At 53.0% G+C, this 19,457-nt stretch overlaps 3 annotated features.

Annotated features, from left to right (window-relative positions):
* Positions 6,841-7,342: an enhancer, noted in NCBI's record as "H3K4me1 hESC enhancer chr14:105322233-105322734 (GRCh37/hg19 assembly coordinates)". NCBI's record gives its function as "activates a minimal SCP1, AML or CMV promoter by ChIP-STARR-seq in naive H9 embryonic stem cells {active_cell/tissue: H9 hESC(naive)}" and the evidence as "EXISTENCE:reporter gene assay evidence [ECO:0000049][PMID:30033119]".
* Positions 17,911-18,522: an enhancer, noted in NCBI's record as "H3K4me1 hESC enhancer chr14:105311053-105311664 (GRCh37/hg19 assembly coordinates)". NCBI's record gives its function as "activates a minimal SCP1, AML or CMV promoter by ChIP-STARR-seq in primed H9 embryonic stem cells {active_cell/tissue: H9 hESC(primed)}" and the evidence as "EXISTENCE:reporter gene assay evidence [ECO:0000049][PMID:30033119]".
* Positions 18,523-19,134: an enhancer, noted in NCBI's record as "H3K4me1 hESC enhancer chr14:105310441-105311052 (GRCh37/hg19 assembly coordinates)". NCBI's record gives its function as "activates a minimal SCP1, AML or CMV promoter by ChIP-STARR-seq in naive H9 embryonic stem cells {active_cell/tissue: H9 hESC(naive)}" and the evidence as "EXISTENCE:reporter gene assay evidence [ECO:0000049][PMID:30033119]".

The raw sequence follows: 19,457 nt of genomic DNA, 5'->3' as shown, positions 1-19,457 counted from the left end.
GGGCAATGCTTGGAGCCACAGAGTGGGGGTAGGGAATTGGAGGGGTAGAGAGGACAACTCAAACCAAGCCAGGAACCCACAGAGGAGACCAGGAAAGGAAAACCAAGAAGGAGTGAGTCCCCAATGCCCCCAAATTGATCCATATATTGAATGATCCCCAGTAAAAGTAGCTCCATGATGATTCCAAAGCCCTTAGGAAACTAAAGGTGCCAGGAGAATGAATAGACACGTCTCCATAGAAGACACACACTGGTCAACAAGTACATGGGAAATGTCCAGCATCCTCCAGGAAATGCAAAGCAAAACCACAGTGAGATCCCACCTCCCACCCGCTGGGACTGGGCAGATGCAGTCCTGGCAAACCAGTCTTGGTGAGGAGCGGGGGTATCAGAGCCCTGCTGCACTGAGATACACACACACAAAATGGAATAGTATTCAGTCTTAAAAAGGAAAGAAATTCCAGTACTGGCTGCAACTTGGATGGACCCTGAGGATCCTATGCTGAGTTAAATAAGCCAGTCACAGAAGAACACGTACCATACAATCCCACTTATGTGAGGTCCCTAGAGTAGTCACTTTCATAGAGATAGTAGCTGACAGGAGGAGCATGGGGAGTGACTGTTTAATGAATACAGACTTGAAATTTGGGAAGAGGTAAAAGTTCTGGAGATGGATGGTGGTGATGGGTGGTGATGATGGACATTGGAGATGGGCAATGGACATGGATGGTGGTGATGGATGGTATAAATGGATATTGGATGTGGACAGCGGACGTGGACAGTGGAGATAGAGGGTGGTGATGGCTGGTGGACATGGACAGTGAAGATAGAGAGTAGTGATGGATGGTGGAGATAGAGGGCGGTGATGGACAGTGGAGATAGAGGGTGGTGATGGACAGTGGAGATAGAGGGTGGTGATGGACAGTGGACATGGACAGTGGAGATAGAGGGTGGTGATGGACAGTGGAGATAGAGGGTGGTGATGGACAGTGGACATGGATAGTGGAGACAGAGGGTAGTGATGGACAGTGGAGATAGAGGGTGGTGATGGACAGTGGACATGGACAGTGGAGATAAAGGGTGGTGATGGACAGTGGAGATAGAGGGTGGTGATGGACAGTGGAGATAGAGGGTGGTGATGGACAGTGGAGATAGAGGGTGGTGATGAACAGTGGAGATAGAGGGTAGTGATGGACAGTGGACATGGACAGTGGAGATAGAGGGTGGTGATGGATGGTGGACATGGACAGTGGAGATAGAGGGTGGTGATAGACGGTGGACATGGACAGTGGACATGGACGGTGGGGACAGAGGGTGGTGATGGACGGTGGACACAGACGGTGGAGATAGAGGGTGGTGATGGACGGTGGACACGGACAGTGGAGATAGAGGGTGGTGATGGACAGTGGAGATAGAGGGTGGTGATGGTCAGTGGAGATAGAGGGTGGTGATGGACGGTGGAGATAGAGGGTGGTGATGGACAGTGGACATGGACAGTGGAGACAGAGGGGGTGATGGACAATGGACATGGACAGTGGAGATACAGGGTGGTGATGGACGGTGGACATGGACAGTGGAGACCGGGGGTGATGAACAGTGGACATGGACAGTGGAGACAGAGGGTGGTGATGGACCCTGGAGATAGAGGGTGGTGATGGACAGTGGAGATAGAGGGTGGTGATGGGCGGTGGACATGGACAGTGGAGATAGAGGGTGGTGATGGACAGTGGACATGGACAGTGGAGATAGAGGGTAGTGATAGACGGTGGACATGGATAGTGGAGATAGAGGGTGGTGATGGACGGTGGACATGGACAGTGGAGATAGAGGGTGGTGATGGACGGTGGACATGGACAGTGGAGATAGAGGGTGGTGATGGATGGTGGACATGGACAGTGGAGACAGAGGGTGGTGATGGACGGTGGAGATAGAGGGTAGTGATGGACGGTGGACATGGACAGTGGAGACGGAGGGTAGTGATGGATGGTGGACATGGACAGTGGAGACAGAGGGTAGTGACGGACGGTGGACATGGACAGTGGAGACAGAGGGTAGTGATGGATGGTGGACATGGGCAGTGGAGGTGGAGGGTAGTGATGGACGGTGGACGTGGACAGTGGAGATGGAGGGTAGTGATGTACAGTGGACATGGACAGTGGAGATAGAGAGTGGTGATGGACAGTGGAGATAGAAGGTGGTGATGGACAGTGGAGATAGAAGGTGGTGATGGACAGTGGACATGGACGCTGGAGATAGAGGGTGGTGATGGACAGTGGAGATAGAGGGTGGTGATGGATGGTGGACATGGACAGTGGAGATAGAGGGTGGTGATGGATGGTGGACATGGATAGTGGAGTTGAAGGGTGGAGATGGAGGGTGGTGATGGATGGCGGTGATGGAGGGTGGAGATGGAGGGTGGTGATGGAGGGTGGAGGGTAGTGATGGACAGTGGAGATGGAGGGTGGAGATGGTGGGTGGTGAAGGAGGTTGGTGATGGAGGGTGGTGATGGGGGGTGGAGATGGAGGGTGGTGATGGATGGTGGAGATGGAGGGTAAAAATAGTTGGTGGTGATGGAGGATGGAGATGGAGGGTGGATGGAGGGTGGAGATAGATGGTGGTGATAGAGGGTGGTGATGGAGGGTGGAGATGGTGGGTGATGATGGAGGGTGGTGATGGATGGTGGAGATAAATGGTGGTGATGAAGGGTGGAGATGGAGGGTGGAGATGCAGGGTGGAAATGGAGGGTGGTGATGGACAGTAGAGATGAATGGTTGTGATGGATGGTGGAGATGGAGGGTGGAAATGGTGGGTGGTGATGGAGGATGGAGATGGAGGGTGGATGGAGGGTGGAGATGGTGAGTGGTGATAGAGGGTGGAGATAAATGGTGGTAATGGACAGTGGAGATGGACAGCGGAAATGGAGGGTGGAGATGCAGGGTGGAAATGGAGGGTGGTGATGGACAGCGGAGATGAATGGTAGTGATGGATGGTGGAGATGGAGCATGGAAATGGTGGGTGGTGATGGAGGATGGAGATGGAGGGTGGTGATGGAGAGTGGTGATGGATGGTGGAGATGAATGGTGGTGATGGACGATGGAGATGGAGGATGGAGATGGAGGGTGGATGAAGGGTGGAGATGGAAGATAGTGATGGAGGGTGGTGATGGATGGTGGTGATGGAGGATGGAGATGGAGGGTGGATGGAGGGTGGAGATGGTGAGTGGTGATGGAGGGTGGAGATAAATGGTGGTAATGGACAGTGGAGATGGACAGTCGAAATGGAGAGTGGTGATGGATGGTAGTGATGGATGGTGGAGATGGACAGCGGAGATGAATGGTGGTGATGGATGGTGGAGATGGAGCGTGGAAATGGTGGGTGGTGATGGAGGATGGAGATGGAGGGTGGAGATGGAGGGTGGTGATGGAGGGTGGAGATGAATGGTGGTGATGGATGGTGGAGATGGAGGATGGAGATGGAGGGTGGATGAAGGGTGGAGATGGAAGGTGGTGATGGAGGGTGGTGATGGATGGTGGAGATGAATGGTGGCGATGGACGGTGGAGATGGAGGATGGAGATGGAAGGTGGTGATGGAGGGTGGAGATGCAGGGTGGAAATGGAGGGTGGTGATGGATAGCAGAGATGAATGGTTGTGATGGATGGTGGAGATGGAGGGTGGAAATGGTGGGTGGTGATGGAGGATGGAGATGGAGGGTGGATGAAGGGTGGAGATGAATGGTGGTGATGGACGGTGGAGATGGAGGGTGGACGAAGGGTGGAGATGGAAGGTGGTGATGGAGGGTGGAGATGGAGGGTGGTGATGGAGGGTGGAGATGCAGGGTGGTGATGGAGGGTGGCGATGGAGGTTGGTGATGGAGGGTGGCGATGGAGGGTGGTGATGGAGGGTGGAGATGGAGGGTGGTGATGGAGGGTGGAGATGCAGGGTGGAAATGGAGGGTGGAGATGCAGGGTGGAAATGGAGGGTGGTGATGGACAGCAGAGATGAATGGTTGTGATGGATGGTGGAGATGGAGGGTGGAAATGGTGGGTGATGGAGGGTGGAGATGGTGAGTGGTGATAGAAGGTGGAGATGAATGGTGGCGATGGACGGTGGAAATGGAAGATGGAGATGGAGGGTGGATGGAGGGTGGAGATGGTGAGTGGTGATACAGGGTGGAGATAAATGGTGGTAATGGACAGTGGAAATGGAGGGTGGTGATGGACGGTGGTGATGGATGGTGGAGATGGAGCGTGGAAATGGTGGGTGGTGATGGAGGGTGGAGATGGAGGGTGGTGATGGAGGGTGGTGATGGAGAGTGGTGATGGATGGTGGAGATGGAGATGGAGGGTGGACGAAGGGTGGAGATGGAAGGTGGTGATGGAGGGTGGTGATAGACGGTGGAGATGGAGGGTGGAGATGGTGGGTGGTGATGGAGGGTGGGGATAAATGGTGGTAATGGACAGTAGAGATGGACGGTGGAAATGGAGGATGGTGATGGTTGTACAACAATGTGAATGCACTTGATGTCACTCAACTGTTCACTTAAAAATGGCAAACATAGTAGTTTTTATGTTACATATATTTTACTACAATAAAAAAAGAATGAAAAGCCTATAAAATTCTGAAAAATAAAAAAGGGGGCTTTAGCCCTGCCAGAGAGTAGAATCCATCATAGAACATCTTGCTATGGGCAGTTGACTGGACACACACATCAGAGCAGGTCTGTGTGATCATTTAGCATATGATTAATGGGGCATTTAAAATCCACGAGGGGCCGGGCGCAGTGGCTCACGCCCGTAATCCCAGCACTTTGGGAGGCCGAGGCGGGTGGATCACCTGAGGTCAGCAGTTCGAGACCAGCCTAACTAACATGGGGAAACCCTGTCTCTACTAAAAATACAAAAAATAGCTGGGCATGGTGGTGGGTGGCTGTAATCCCAGCTACTGAGGTGGCTGAGGTGGGAGAATCACTTGAACCTGGAAGCGGAGGTTGCAGTGAGCCAAGATCGTGCCACTTCTCTCCAGCCTGAGCAACAAAGCGAGACTCTGTCTCAAAAAATAAATTAATTAATAAATAAATAAATCCATGAGGGAAAGGATGTCATTTAAAAAAGGGTGTGGCCAGGCACGGTGGCTCATGCCTATAACCAGCACTTTGGAGGCCGAGGCAGGTGGATCACCTGAGGTCAGGAGTTTGAGACTGGCCTGGCCAGCATGGTGAAACTCTGTCTCTACTAAAAAAAAAGGACAAAATTAGCTGGATGTGGTGGCGCATGCCTGTAATCCCAGCTACTTGGGAGGCTGAGGCAGGAGAATCGCTTGAACCTGGGAGGCAGAGATTGCAGTGAGCCTAGATTACGCCATTGTACTTCAGTCTGGGCAACGAGCGAAACTCCATCTCAAAAAAAATAAAAATAATAATAAAATAATAATAAAGGGTGGTGGAGCAACTGGGCGGCCTTGGTGTCTGGAAAAACATGACGTTGGATCCTGATCCCACTCTTCACACGGAAATAAATTCCTTATGGAGCGGAAATAGAAATGCAAAAACCCAAAACCACAAACATAATTTGGAAAAAACACAGGAGACTATTTAATGATCTCAGGATCCGGAAGGCTTTTCTGAGCACAACAAAAAAGCAGAAGCCACAGGGAACATTGTTGAAAAATTTAATTAAATTACAAATGGCAACATTTTGCCTAGACCACATATTTAAAATCAAAGGATGTGCAACAAACTGGGGAGAACCCATGATAACTCAGTGGTTAACAAAGGGCCGATTCTCCCAACAAAGGGCTACTATCAGTCAACGAGGAAAGGGCCAGGCCGCCGGACACGCTGCACAAAGGAAGCCCCAATGGCTGCTGACTGCAAGATGCTGAACCTCCGCCGTAATCAGGGATGAGCAAATTGGCCCTACCGGAAGATGGTATTTTCACCTGTCAGACGTTTTCATGAGAGACTGGGATGGGAGGAGCGGGGAGACAGGCACTTCCCACAACTCCCAGCAGGAGTGTGAATTTGGGGTGTCGGGGGAGGGGATTTTGTTTCCACTATAGCCTGGTACTGCTAGAAGGTTTTAAATGAGGACACTAGCTGTACTAACAATTACAAAATTCGCAGTACTGTGTAGGGGAGAGAGGGTCGGGGGGGAGGGCATGGGGCCCCCTACGCAATGTGGTGGCGCCAAGGGAATGCCTAGCGGGTCCCTTGGGCTTAAGGACAAGGATGCCAAGGTTTTGGGGCCTGGCAGGCCGGAGTGGGTGCCTGGAGCTAGAGGTAGAAGGTGTAGGTGCCCCCTTCTGGGAACAAGGGGGTGAGAGGAGGGAGGGAAAAAGGGGTGCAGGGCGGGTCAGAGGGCTCCCTCCCCCCAACAGCTGACCCCCCAGCCCCAGCGCCCTGCTTTGCAGCCACGGCATTCAGCAGCCTCCACCTGGGGCTGAGATTGTGACCACCCTCAGGGACACGGGTTCAGGTCTGCTGTCTGCTGAACCTACGTTCTGCAGGATTTGGTCCAGGGCTCTGGTGAAGATGTAGGAGTTGGCCTGCGTCAGCGCCCGTCCCCGCTTTCCACAGCGAGCAAAGACCGTGGGAACCCTGATGCCCCTTTGCATTTGCGCTTCTGTACTTAGCTGCTAGTCTCAGGCAGTGAAAGCTTCAAGCCACCCGCAGAGCCCTGGAACTGGGGCATTGGCTCTAGTGGGAAAAGGAGGCTTCCCACTGGCGACCCACCATGACAGACCACAAAAGACATGCAGGTCCCCACAGTCAGGCCCTGACACCCACTCTTCCTGCCTTCTTCTGCCTAGGCTTGCACAGCTGGGCAAGTGAGCGGGAGCCACGGGTTAGCTGAGATCACCTGCGGCCAGGAACAGGGCCTTCCTGGAGGTGAGGACAAGCTCTGCTTCCTCCAGGAGCAGGTGCTGGAGCAGAGCGGCTCCCCCGTTCTACAAGTGTCCTCTGTGTGGCGGCCCAGGTCTGTGCGGGCCTGTCCAGCCCAGGAGAGGACAGAAGTCATCTGTAGCCTGGGCCCCTGTGGCCCCCAGCGAGAGGCCCTGGTGGGACTGGTCTTTCTCAGCCTGTGCACCTGGGGCTGAAACAGGACTCAAAGAGGGAAAGTGGCCCAGGCAGGCCCTCCCCTCAGGCCTCCCCTCTCCCTGGCTGCTCTCCCAGGCTTCCCTGCTTTCCCTTCTGAGACCCCGACTACTGGACCCAGCCTTACTGCCAAGATAATTATCCACAACAGCAGGAGCGCCCAGGCCCATGAAGATAATCGCCTGCCCAGCACTGTGTCCACATCCAGTTCATCCCAGCTGAGACCCAAGTGCAGCTGAGGGGTGGGGGACACTCCTCAGCTCTCGAATGATGCCAACCCTCCAGGGCCTGGCTGGGAGCAGCTCAGTGCTTCCTGGCTCCGGGGCTGTGTTCCCTACGTCCCATTCGGAGCTTCTCTCCTGAAGAAAACAGTGTCTGCCTGCACCCTTCTTAGAAAGCACCCTGACACGTGGCTACAAAGAGCAGAGAGCACAGTACCCTTCCCAGACACACACCAGCACCCCCACCCACTGCATTTAAGCCACCACTGTCCCGCCGCATTCATCCCTCCTCTACCCCCTAAATTCATCTTTCAGTGGAACTCTGCGTTCATCCCTCCACTCCCCGCTCCATTCATCCCTCCACTCCCTGCTCCATTCACCCCTCCACTCCCCCCTCCATTCACCCTTCCACTCCCCCCTCCATTCATCCTTCCACTACCCCCTAAATTCATCCTTCCACAGAACCCTGCGTTCATCCCTCCACTCCCCGCTCCATTCACCTCCACTCTCCCTCCATTCACCCCTCCAAACCCCCCTCCATTCACCCCTCCACTCTCCCCTCCCTTCACCCTCCACTCCCTGCTCCTTTCACCCCTCCACTCCCCCCCATTCACCCTTCCACTCCCCCCTCCATTCATCCTTCCACTACCCCCTAAATTCATCCTTCCACAGAACCCTGCGTTCATCCCTCCACTCCCCGCTCCATTCACCTCCACTCTCCCTCCATTCACCCCTCCAAACCCCCCTCCATTCATCCCTCCACTCCCCCCTCCATTCACCCCTCCACTCCCCCCTACATTCACCCCTCCACTCCCCCCTCCATTCACCCCTCCACTCCCACCTCCATTCACCCCTCCACTCCCCCCTCCATTCACCCCTCCACTCCCCCCTCCATTCACCCCTCCACTCCCCCCTCCATTCACCCTCCACTCCCCCCTCCCTTCAACCTCCAGTCCCCTCTCCATTCACCTCTCCACTCCCCCCATTCACCCCTCCACTCCCCACTCCATCCCTCCATTCCCCCCTCCATTCATCCCTCCACTCCCCCCTACATTCATCCCTCCACTCGCCCCTACATTCATCCCTCCCCTACTCCTTACATTCATCCTTCCACTCCCTCACTCCATTCATACCTCCACTTCCCCCTCCATTCATTCCTCCACTGCCCCCTCCATTCCTCCACTGCCCCCTCCATTCCTCCCTCCACTGCCCCCTCCGTTCATCCCTCCACTGCCCCCTACATTCATCCCTCCCCTATCCCCTCCATTCATCCCTCCACTCCCTCACTCCATTCATCCTTCCATGGCCCCCTCCATTCATCCCTCCACTGCCCCCTCCATCCCTCCACTGCCCCCTCCATTCCTCCCTCCACTGCCCCCTCCGTTCATCCCTCCACTGCCCCCTCCGTTCATCCCTCCCCTATCCCCTCCATTCATCCCTCCACTCCCTCCATTCATCCCTCCACTGCCCCCTCCATTTATCCCTCCACTGCCCCCTCCATTCCTCCCTCCACTGCCCCCTCCATTCCTCCCTCCACTGCCCCCTCCGTTCATCCCTCCACTGCCCCCTCCGTTCATCCCTCCACTGCCCCCTACATTCATCCCTCCCCTATCCCCTCCATTCATCCCTCCACTCCCTCACTCCATTCATCCCTCCACTGCCCCCTCCATTCCTCCCTCCACTGCTCCTGACTGCCGGCTCTGGGGCAGTGCTCTGTGTCCCATGGTGCAGAGTAGGACAATGATGAGGAGGCAGAAGAGCAATCGAGTGGAGTTTCGGAGAGTACTGTCATAACCCTGCGCTGAGGGCGGATCCCATCTCTGCCCAGGTCCTGGATCTTTACCACCCAGCACCCACACACCCCCTAAGCTCTGCAGGACCCATGGTGAACAAGATGAGGAAGAGGACTGAGGTGGTCATCTCCTTTCTACTTCAGCGGGAATCCTTTCTCTGCGGTTCATCAGGGAAAATGGAATTTTTTTTGCTCACCTACAGATCAGCTCTCCAGCATGACGGGCCCTGCGGACCACCTGCCTCAAAGCCTTTCCTCCTTGTTCTTTCCAACAGAACCAGGGGCTTTCAGCCATCTGTGGTGATCTCTTGATCTCGGGGAAGGGGCCAGGTCCAGGACTGAGCAAGGGCACATAACTAATTTGGGGCCAAGGAGATATGAGGGGAAGTGTGCTGTTGCAGGGGACAGTGTGTGGGGAAGGGCGCTTCTAGGAATGCCGTCCTCCTGTTAAAGAGTTGATGTGAGGTAAGACATTCTCTGTCTCTACTCACCGCCTCTGCTGGGTGAGGACATGATTCTTGGGACTGCAGAGCCATCTTGAGACTAAGAGAAGACCAGGAGCAGAGCAGACAAGCTGACCAAGATCCCTGCCACAGCTGAACTGGACCCAGAGCCATAGACTTCTTAATCTTACGAAGTGGATCAAGCTAACAAACTTAAACGATGTTGTTTAAGCTACTTTGGGTTGGATGTTCTGTTAGTTACAGCTGAATCACCCATGTAGCAGAGGATGTTTTTATTTATTTTAGAGACAAGCTGTTGCTCTGTCACCCCGGCTGAAGTGCAGGTGCAATCATAGCTCACTGCAGCCTCAAAATCCTGGCTGCAAGTGATCCTCCCACCTCACCCTCCCAAGTACCTGGGACTACAGGTGCACTCTGCCACGCCAGCTAATTTTTTAAATTTTTGTAAATATGGGGCCTCAGTATGTTGCCCAGGCTGTTATTGAATTCCCGGCCTCAAACGATCCTCCTGCTTCAGTCTCCCAAAGTGCTGGGATTACAGGTGTGAACCACTGTACCTCGCCCTGCACACGTGCTTAGATATGCTTTCTCCAAGTACTGTTCTTTGGAATACTGGTAATAAATATTTCTATGAGCTGGGCACGGTGGCTCACTCCTGTAATCCCAGCATTTTGGGAGGCTGAGGCGGGCGGATCATCTAAGGTCAGGAGTGCAAGACCAGCCTGACCAACATGGATAAACCCCATCTCTACTAAAGATACAAAATTAGCTGCGCGTGGTGGCGCATGCCTGTAGTCCCAGCTACTCGGGAGGCTGAGGCAGGAGAATTGCTTGAACCCGGGAGGCAGAGGTTGCGGTGAGCTGAGATCGCACCACTGCACTCCAGCCTGGACAACAAGAGTGAAACTCCATCTCAAAAAAAAAATTTTTTTTTCTATGGAAAAAAGTCTATTTTGTGAGATATACATATATTTTTTTTTAAATAAAAATGTGTTGGTCCACCCCCCCCACACCTCCACCCCTGCAGTCAAAGCCACTGACCATGGAGCCAGGAGCCACCCAATGAGGTGTCTTTTCTCTAAGGATGGTGAAGTTAGAGAAGGCTCCTTTAAACCTCCTCCACCATGTGCCAGAAACCCAGAGAACACTCACGGCGGCCCTGAGCTCTCGAGAATCGTTGTGCAATGCCCATTCCAGCAGCCATGCACATCTCATGGCCAGGGTGAGCCTAGGAAGGAAGGGCAGAGGATGACACATTCGACGTGAGTAGGACTTTCTGTGTGTCCACTCTGTGGGGCTCTTCTTTGGAACGTCACTGTGGACACAGGAGTCAGAGGTGAACGAAGGCACTGAGAGGGGATGGGGCACTGGCATTGGAGGAGTGAGGAGCACCCAGCCATCCTTATTCGCTTTACTGCTTTTGGCAGTTTTTCTGTTTGATGTGTTAATTCGTGTACACGCTGCATGCCAGCCGCCACTGATGGCCGCCTTAACGGCGGTGCTGACCACGGCTGCTTTGTCAGCACAGGTGAAGCTGTTGAAACGCCTCTCAGAGGGGCCTCTGGTGGCACTGCCCATCTCTTCCCTCAGCCTCTCCTGAGTGAGGCCTGCTGCGGGGTTTCCGAGAGTTCCCTCAGGAAGCGGCAGAAGGGAGCAGATGCCCGAGGTCAGGTGCCTGAGAGACGGTAGCATTTGGACAGCCCAGTAGCCTTTCCCATGGTCACGCAAATTCTCCTGAAACTCAGGCAGGGTCTGAAGAAACACAAGATGGCACAAAGCCATCCCCAGAGCCGTGGGTCCCACGTGGTTAAATGTGGAAAACACTCGCTGAGGGTCATAGTGGAAAACAGCGGCTGGAGATGGGGTCTTCCTGTTGGCTGCCGAGACGGTGACATCTACAGGTGTTGAGTGGCTAAAAAAATGTATTCCTTGCAATGCCTCACAGACATGGTAACGTATGCACATATGCGTAGTGGCCTGCCAGGGCTGGTAAGATAACATCCCTTCTATATTCAGGGAGATGAAATCTGATCTTTTTTTTTTTTTTTTTTTTTTTGAGACAGAGTCTTGCTCTGTCACCCAGGCTGGAGTGCAGTGGCGTGATCTTGGCTCACTGCAACCTTCGCCTCCCAGGTTCAAGCGATTCTCCTGCCTCAGCCTCCTGAGTACCTGGGACTACAGGTGCCCACCACCACGCCTGGCTAATTTTTTGCATCTTTAGTAGAAACAAGGTTTCACTGTGTTGCCCAGACTGGTCTCAAACTCCTGAGCTCAGGCAATCCACCCGCCTCAGCCTCCCAAAGTGCTAGGATTACAGGTGCCAGCCACCGCGCCTGGCCAGAATCTGATCTTTTGATGGATAGTTGCAGAAAAGTCTTCTGCTATATTCCTAATCAAAGTCTTCTTAGAATATTGAAATATCACCTTTTTAGTAAGCGAAATGCCTTTTCATTTTATCCAAAACAACACAGATAGAACTATTTGTTTCATGTGTCAGATTTTATATTCCTTTCATATCACTACATTTCCCCTTGTGTTTTTTCACTCATGCACATGCAGTCTTTGTACTTTTTTTTTTTTTTTTTTGAGATGGAGTTTCATTCTTGTTGTCCAGGCAGGAGTGCAATGGCATGATCTTGGTTCACTGCAACTTCCGCCTCCCAGGTTCAAGTGATTCTCCTGCCTCAGCCTCCCGAGTAGCTGAGATTACAGGCGTGCACCACCACGCCCGGCTAATTTTGTATATTTAGTAGAGATGGGGTTTTCAAGTTGGCCAGGCTGGTCTCCAACTCCTGACCTCAGGTGATCCACCTGCCTCTGCCTCCCAAAGTGCTGGGATTACAGGTGTGAGCCACCACACCTGGCCTGTGCCTGGCTAATTTTAAAGTTTTTTTGTAGAGATGAGGTCTTGCTATGTTACCCAGGCTGGTCTTGAACTCCTGACCTCAATAGATCCTCCTGCCTTAGCCCACAAAGTGCTGAAATTACAGGTGTGAGCCACCATGCCTGGCCCTAATTTTAATAATTTCTTATATCAATCAAATCATCCAGTAGATCATTCTTCCTGTCTACCAGGCAAATCTATAAGTACTCATTATCATTTATTAGGCCATTTAATTCTTTTTTTTTTTTTTTTGAAACGGAGTTTCTTTCTTGTTGCCTAGGCTGGAGTACAATGGCGTGATCTTGGCTCACTGTAACCTCCACCTCCCAGGTCCAAGCGATTCTCCTGCCTCAGCTTCCCAAGTAGCTGGGATTACGGGCATGCACCACAACACCTGGCTAATTTTGTATTTTTAGTAGAGACGGGGTTTCTCCGTGTTGGTCAGGCTGGTCTCGAACTCCTGACCTCAGGTGATCTGCCTGCCTCGGCCTCCCAAAGTGCTCGGAGCACAGGCGTGAGCCACCGCGCCCGGCCCCATTTAATTCTTTATAGTAATCAGGAACCTCTATGCTCTCAAAAATAAAGCTTCCCACAAAGCAAAAACACCTACTTGTGGCTGTGGTAAATAACAAGTATCAGACACCAAAAGCAACTCTAAAAACTAGTTTAAAAACAACAACAGGCCGGGCACGGTGGCTCACGCCTGTAATCCCAGCACTTTGGGAGGCTGAGGCGGGTGGATCACGAGGTCAGGAGTTCAAGACCAGCATGACCAACATGGTGGAACCCCGTCTCTACTAAAAATACAAAAAATTAGCCAGGCGTGGTGGCAGGTGCCTGTACTCCCAGGTACTTGGGAGGCTGAGGCGGGAAAACGGTGTGAACCCAGGAGGTGGAGCTTGCATTGAGCCGAGATCGAGCCATTGCATTCCAGCCTGGGCGACAGAGCAAGACTCTGTCTCAAAACAACAGCAACAACATAACAGCTGTTTGAAGGCATTGGAGAGCAACCAAGGCAGCCAGGACTTGAGGGACTGAGAACCTGAGAAAAGGGAATCACATTGAGATGAGCCTGGCAGGTACTTAGAGACCAAGCAGAAAGTGGCAGCTCAGAGCTTCTGGGATTCTCACAGGCCTGGGGAGGCAAATATTGGCATTGGAAGCTACCATTCAATCTTCTGTGCCTCTTTTCCCATTAAGATATTTGCCAATCTCTAAGCTGTTTTGGGTAGGAGGTTACAAAGTCAAGCAGAAAATGGCAGCTGAAAGCCCATGAAATTAAAGCTTTAGCTGTCTGATGGTGTTATGGAGAAAGGAATTGGAGTCCAGGCATCAAGGAGAAGGGACCCTGTAAAAACACTCAGCCTTTCAGGTAAGGTCCTTGGAATGTGACACTCCAGCAAGCTAGAAACCAAATAAACCTTCCCACCCCTACTCAATTTCTCACACACGGGCCAGGCACAGTGGCTCATGCCTGTAATCTCAGTACTTAGGGAGGCCGAGGTGGGAGGATCGCTTGAGTCTAGGAGCTTGAGACAAGCCTGGGAGACATAGTGAGACCCCGAGACCTCATCTCATTTTTAATCTTTTTTTTTTCTTTTTTTTTTTTTTGAGACAGGATCTCACTCTGTCACCCAGGCTGGAGTGCAGTGGCACAATCAACTCCTGACCTCAAATGATCCAACTGCCTTGGCCTCCCAAAGTGCTAGGATTACAGGCATGAGCCACCATACCTGGCTGTGAGACCTCATCTCTACAGAAAATAATAAAATTAGTGGGATGTGGTGGTGTGCAGCTGTAGTCCCAGCTACTCTGGAGGCTGAGTCGGGGGATCCCTTGAGCCAGGCAGTTCAAGGCTGCAGTGAACTATGTATGACTGTGCCACTGCACTCCAGCCTGGGCCACACAATGAGACTGTAAAGAACTGGAGGCTCTAACCACACGTGGCTACTGCACTAGTAGCTGGTGCCTAAAACTTGGATTTTTAGGCCGGGTGTGGTGGCTCACACCTGTAATCCCAGCACTTTGGGAGGCCGAGGCGGGCGGATCACAAGGTGAGGAGATCAAGACCATCTTGGCTAACACGGTGAAACCCCATCTCTACTAAAAATACAAAAAAATTAGCCAGGCGTGGTGGTGGGTGCTTGTAGTCCCAGCTACTCAGGAGGCTGAGGCAGAAGAATGGCGTGAACCCGGGAGGCGGAGCTTGCAGTGAGCCGAGATGGAGCCACTGCACTCCAGCCTGGGCGACAGACAGAGCGAGACTCCGTCTCAAAAAAAAAAAAAAAAAAAAAGGAAGCTGTCAGTAGCCAGAAGTTAAGAAATGGAGTCCAACTCCTCAATACAAACTACCAGCTTACAGGGAATGCAGAGGCACAGATGCATGTTAAACAGTAGCAGGGGGCACAGCTGGCAAAATCCAGGCTGGTGAGCTACAGGGGAACAGCCTGGTTTCCTTTGCTAGAGGGGAAGAAAGGACGAATAAGAAAAGTGTGGATTAAGAAGACCTGACTTATCAACCAGTCACAAAGTGGCAAAACTGGGTTCCAATTCAAACAAACGTTTACAAAACAATTGGAAAAGTGAACATTGACTTGATATTTAGTAATATTGGCCGGGCGTGGTGGCTTGTGCCTCTAATCCCAACACTTTGGGAGGCCGTGGCAGGCAGATCATGAGGTCAAGAGATTGAGACCATCCTGGCCAACGTGTTGAAACCCCGTCTCTACTAAAAATACAAAACATTAGCTGGGTGTGGTGGCGGGCACCTGTAGTCCCAGCTACTCGGGCGGCTGAGGCAGGAGAATCACTTGAACCCGGGAGGCGGAGGTTGCAGTGACGATAAAACCATTTCACAATTATAAAAGGGTCAATTGAATAGGAAGATCTAACAATCATAAATCTGTAGACACCTAATAACACAGCGCTGAAACATAGAAAACAAAATCTGATAGAACTAAAAAAGTAGCAGCAAATCCACAACTACTGTGGGAAATTTTAAAACATCTCTCTCGGTAACTGATAGACTAAATGGACAAAATACCGGTAGAGATACAATATATTTAAACCACAAGTTGTTGTTGTTGTTGTTGTTGTTTTTGAGCCGGAGTCTTGCTCTGTCACCCAGGCTGGAGTGCAGTGGCACCATCTCGGCTCCCTGCAAGCTCCGCCTCCCGGGTTCACGCCATTCTCCTACCTCAGCCTCCCCAGTAGCTGGGACTACAGGCGCCCGCCACCATGTCCAGGTAATTTTTTGTATTTTTAGTAGAGACGGGGTTTCACCGCATTAGCCAGGATGGTCTCGATCTCCTGATCTCGTGATCTGCCCACCTCGGCCTCCCAAAGGGCTGGGATTACAGGCGTGAGCCACCGCGCCTGGCCCTCTTTTTTTTTGAAACAGAGTCTCGTTCTGTCACCCAGGCTGGAGTGCAGTGGGGTGAGATCTCAGCTCACTGCAACCTCCATCTCCTGAGTTCAAGAGATTCTCGTGCCTCAGCCTCCTGAGTAGCTGTAATTACAGGCACCCACCACCACACCTGGCTAATTTTTGTATTTTTATTAGAGATGGGGTTTTGCCATGTTGGCCAGGCTGGTCTTGAACTCCTGACCTCAAGTGATCCTCCCAAAATGCTAAGATTACAGGTGTGAGCCCCCGCTTCTGGCCCTGGTTTTTCTTTTTCTCTCTCTCTCTCTCTTTCTTTCTTTCTTTCTTTTTTTTTTTTTAAGAGACAGAGCCTCGCTCTGTTTCTCAGGCTGGAGTAGAGCCCTGATTTTCGTGTTTGGTTTTCAACTGTTGTGTTCTCAAATGGTCTGGGAAACTTCTGCATAGACCTAGACCTTGAAGTGTCCTCCTCCCCCAACCTGTCCCTCTAGGGAGCTTATGATGGTTAATTTTAGGGGTCAACTGAGCTGGATTGAGGGATGCCTAGATGGCTGGTGAAGCATTGTATCTCGGTGTGTCTGGGAGGACTTGTGAGTCAGTGGCCTGAGAGAGGAAGACCGGTCCTTAGTGTGGGCAGAACACCATCCCATCGGCTGGGGGCCCAGCTGGAACAAATGGGCAGAAGAAGGGGGATTCACTCTCTCTCTGCTGTTCCTCTCTACCTTTTGGAGAGGAGTGCTTTTTCTCCTCCTGCTTTTGTACATTGGCTCTTCTGCTTTTGAACTCTGGGACTCGCACTAGCGGCCTTTTGGGAACTCTTGGGCCTGAGCTGGCTTCCCTGAACCTGGCTGGCTTCCCTAGTTCTGAGGCTCTGGAAGTTGGACTGAGCCATGCTCTGGTCTCCAGCTTGCAGACCACCTGTCAGAGGACCTCACCTCTGTGAGCCTGTGAGCCAGCTCCCCTAATAAACCCCCTTTCTTATATCCTGCTGGTTCTGTCTTTCTGGAAAACGCTGAAAAATAAAGAGCTCAATCACATTTTTGGGCCAAAAAGGGCAAATCTCTCATTTGGCTGTTATTAGTCATCTATTGACTGCATTGGGCTTCAGAGCACAAATGCACTACAGCAGACTTGGCTGGTGGCCAGATTCCTGGGGCCCTTCCCTCAGCTGTCCTGCCTGTCACCCACCAGCAGCGACATCTCATCACCTAGAGGCTAAATCCTGGGAAGGGAAGGTCCCTCTGGTTCTGCTCAGGACTGGAGGTGGGGATTTGACACCTCGGAGAGTTCTCAACCACAGGCTGGAAGGAGTTGGTGTATAAATACCCCAGCTCTCTTCCTCCTAGCTCTGCATGTTTTACATTTTTCCCAAAATTCCCCTGGAGGTTATACTCCAGTTGCCTACCATAGCTACCTCTCCATCCCCATCTTACTCATCCACCACCTTCTGGCATTGCTATGACAAAAACCACAGACTGCACAACTTACAAACAACAGAAATTTATTCTCATTGTTCTGGAGGCTGTGGAGTCCAAGATCAAGGCCCCAGCAGTGTCTGGGGAGGGCTGCTTCCTGGTCCATAGATGGGGCTTCTCACTGTGTCCTCACATGGTGGGAGGGATGAGGGATCTCTCTTGGGCCATTTTTATAAAGGTACTATTGCCATTCCTAAGGGCTGTGCTCTCATGACCTAATCACCTCCCAAAGGCCCTACCCCCTAATACCACCATCACATGTGAACTTGGGAGGGACACACATATTTAGACTATGTTAACTTTTCAGTGTGGGTGCCAATCCCTGTCTGAGTCTGCTTCTGGAGAAATCCCACAGACCCGGAGTGTCCCCAACACCAGGGGGTCCTCACTGTGGGTGGGGTGGGGGAGGGGCACAGGGTGTGGAACTGCCACTACATAGCTCTTTGGCAGGGTGAGATACCAGGGGCTGGCCAGGCCTGGCTTGTGGGAGAGGAGCCAGCTCCAGGGACATGGGGAGAGGGTGGTGGGGTGGAGAAGGATGGGCCCTGCTTTCTCCAGAACACTCTTCTGCCTCCCCTTATCTGAGATCCCTTGAGAGCATTCCAAAGGATGGCCACTTATTCCCCAAGTCCTGAGGTCCTAGGTAAGCAGGCGGCCGCAGGGACCAGGCTCCTTTACCCCTTTCCCCCAATCTGTGTCCTGGCTCCTGCCTCCCCACAAAACACAGCCTGGCCCGCATGCCCCTCAGGGTCAAGTCATACAGCTCAGCCCAGCTTGGGAGAACCACCTGCACCAGACCCTCACCTCCCACCATCACCTTTGACTCCAGCTAAGCTCCAGGCCACCACTCTGAACTCTGAGCTTTTGCACATGCTGTTCCTCTCCCTTCCCTTCATGGGTTGTGTGCCATGTGCCCTTTTTTCTCAGGGTAAATGCCTTCTGACCCCAACTCTGCTCTTCCTCCGTAACCCCCCAGTGTGCATTTGTCACACTATGGTTCTGGTTAGTGAAGCCCTCAGCCTGTGCGGGGCTGGGTGAGGAGGAATCTGCAGGGGAGGGGCCAGCCAGCCAGCAGTAGGCAGCCAGGGCGCTGCATCCCGGAGGCTGTGGTCCCTCCTTCGCAGGTGAGCTCTGAGCACCAGTGAAAGCCCCTCTTTGCCCGCTCTGCTCTGAGCTGATTTCCAAACTTGGAAAAACGGAGACCGTAAGTTAAGAGACCTGAACGCTGGACACATCCGTTGCCAGAAAGAGGCGCTAGGGAGTGAATGAGCGTGACATAAAGAGTCTCCCTGAAGACAGCCATCTCCAGGGCCTGGGCCTCCAGCAGGTCTGGCCTTGGGCGGGAGGCTGTGCAGGCAGAAAACCTGCCTCTCGGTCTCCGAGTGGGCGAATGCGCGCCACCGTGGCTGCACCAGGCTTGCTGGTGATTTGGGAAGAGTTACGTGGCCCCTCTGAGCCTGGGTTTCCTCACTTGCATGGCCTGAGGACCCCAGGCAGAGGAAGCAGGGCCCGGCTGGGCCAAGCTAGATCCTGTCTGGGGGCTGCCGGGCTGGAAACAGCAGGAGCAGAGGGCAGCTTCCGTGGCACAGGAGGCGCGGAAAAGCGGCGCAAGGAGGTGGGGACGGATGAGAAGATTTTGAAATGCGTGCCTGGTTTCCCCTATAAAAGTCGAGTTGCAGAATCTTATTTTGAGATACAGTCCCCTCCCACCCCTGGGGGACTAGGGGTACTAGGGAGCGTCTCATTCTTCTCTCCTGAGTTCCGAAATCCACCTCCGAGAGCGCAGTCTCCAGGCTTTCAGCAGCCAGGCAGGCGCTCGGCGAGAAGGGTTTCTGGAATTCGAGCGATGCGGCTTTGCTCACCAGGGAGCCAGCCCGGGACCCAGAACTTACACCCGGGACCCCGCGAGTACAGGACACCGGTGGGGACAGGAATTATCCCCCGCCCAGGAGGCACTGAGACCCTGCGGGAGGCGTGCGCGGCCCTAGGGGAGGGGAGGGGAGGCAGCCGCCACTCGTGTCCGCGGAGAGTTGGGAGGCGGTCGGTTTTGAAAGGCGGCCAGGGGAGCTTTGTGCTGAACCGGGAGGGCCAGATTTACTCCCTCGGGCCTTCCGGAGTCGCTGCCCGGGAACGCGTGTCTGCCCC

The sequence above is a fragment of the Homo sapiens genome, chromosome 14 (assembly GCF_000001405.40).
Source record: "Homo sapiens chromosome 14, GRCh38.p14 Primary Assembly".
NCBI lineage: Eukaryota > Metazoa > Chordata > Mammalia > Primates > Hominidae > Homo > Homo sapiens.
Note: the sequence above shows the minus strand (reverse complement) of the source record. Positions and strands in the feature narration are given on the sequence as shown.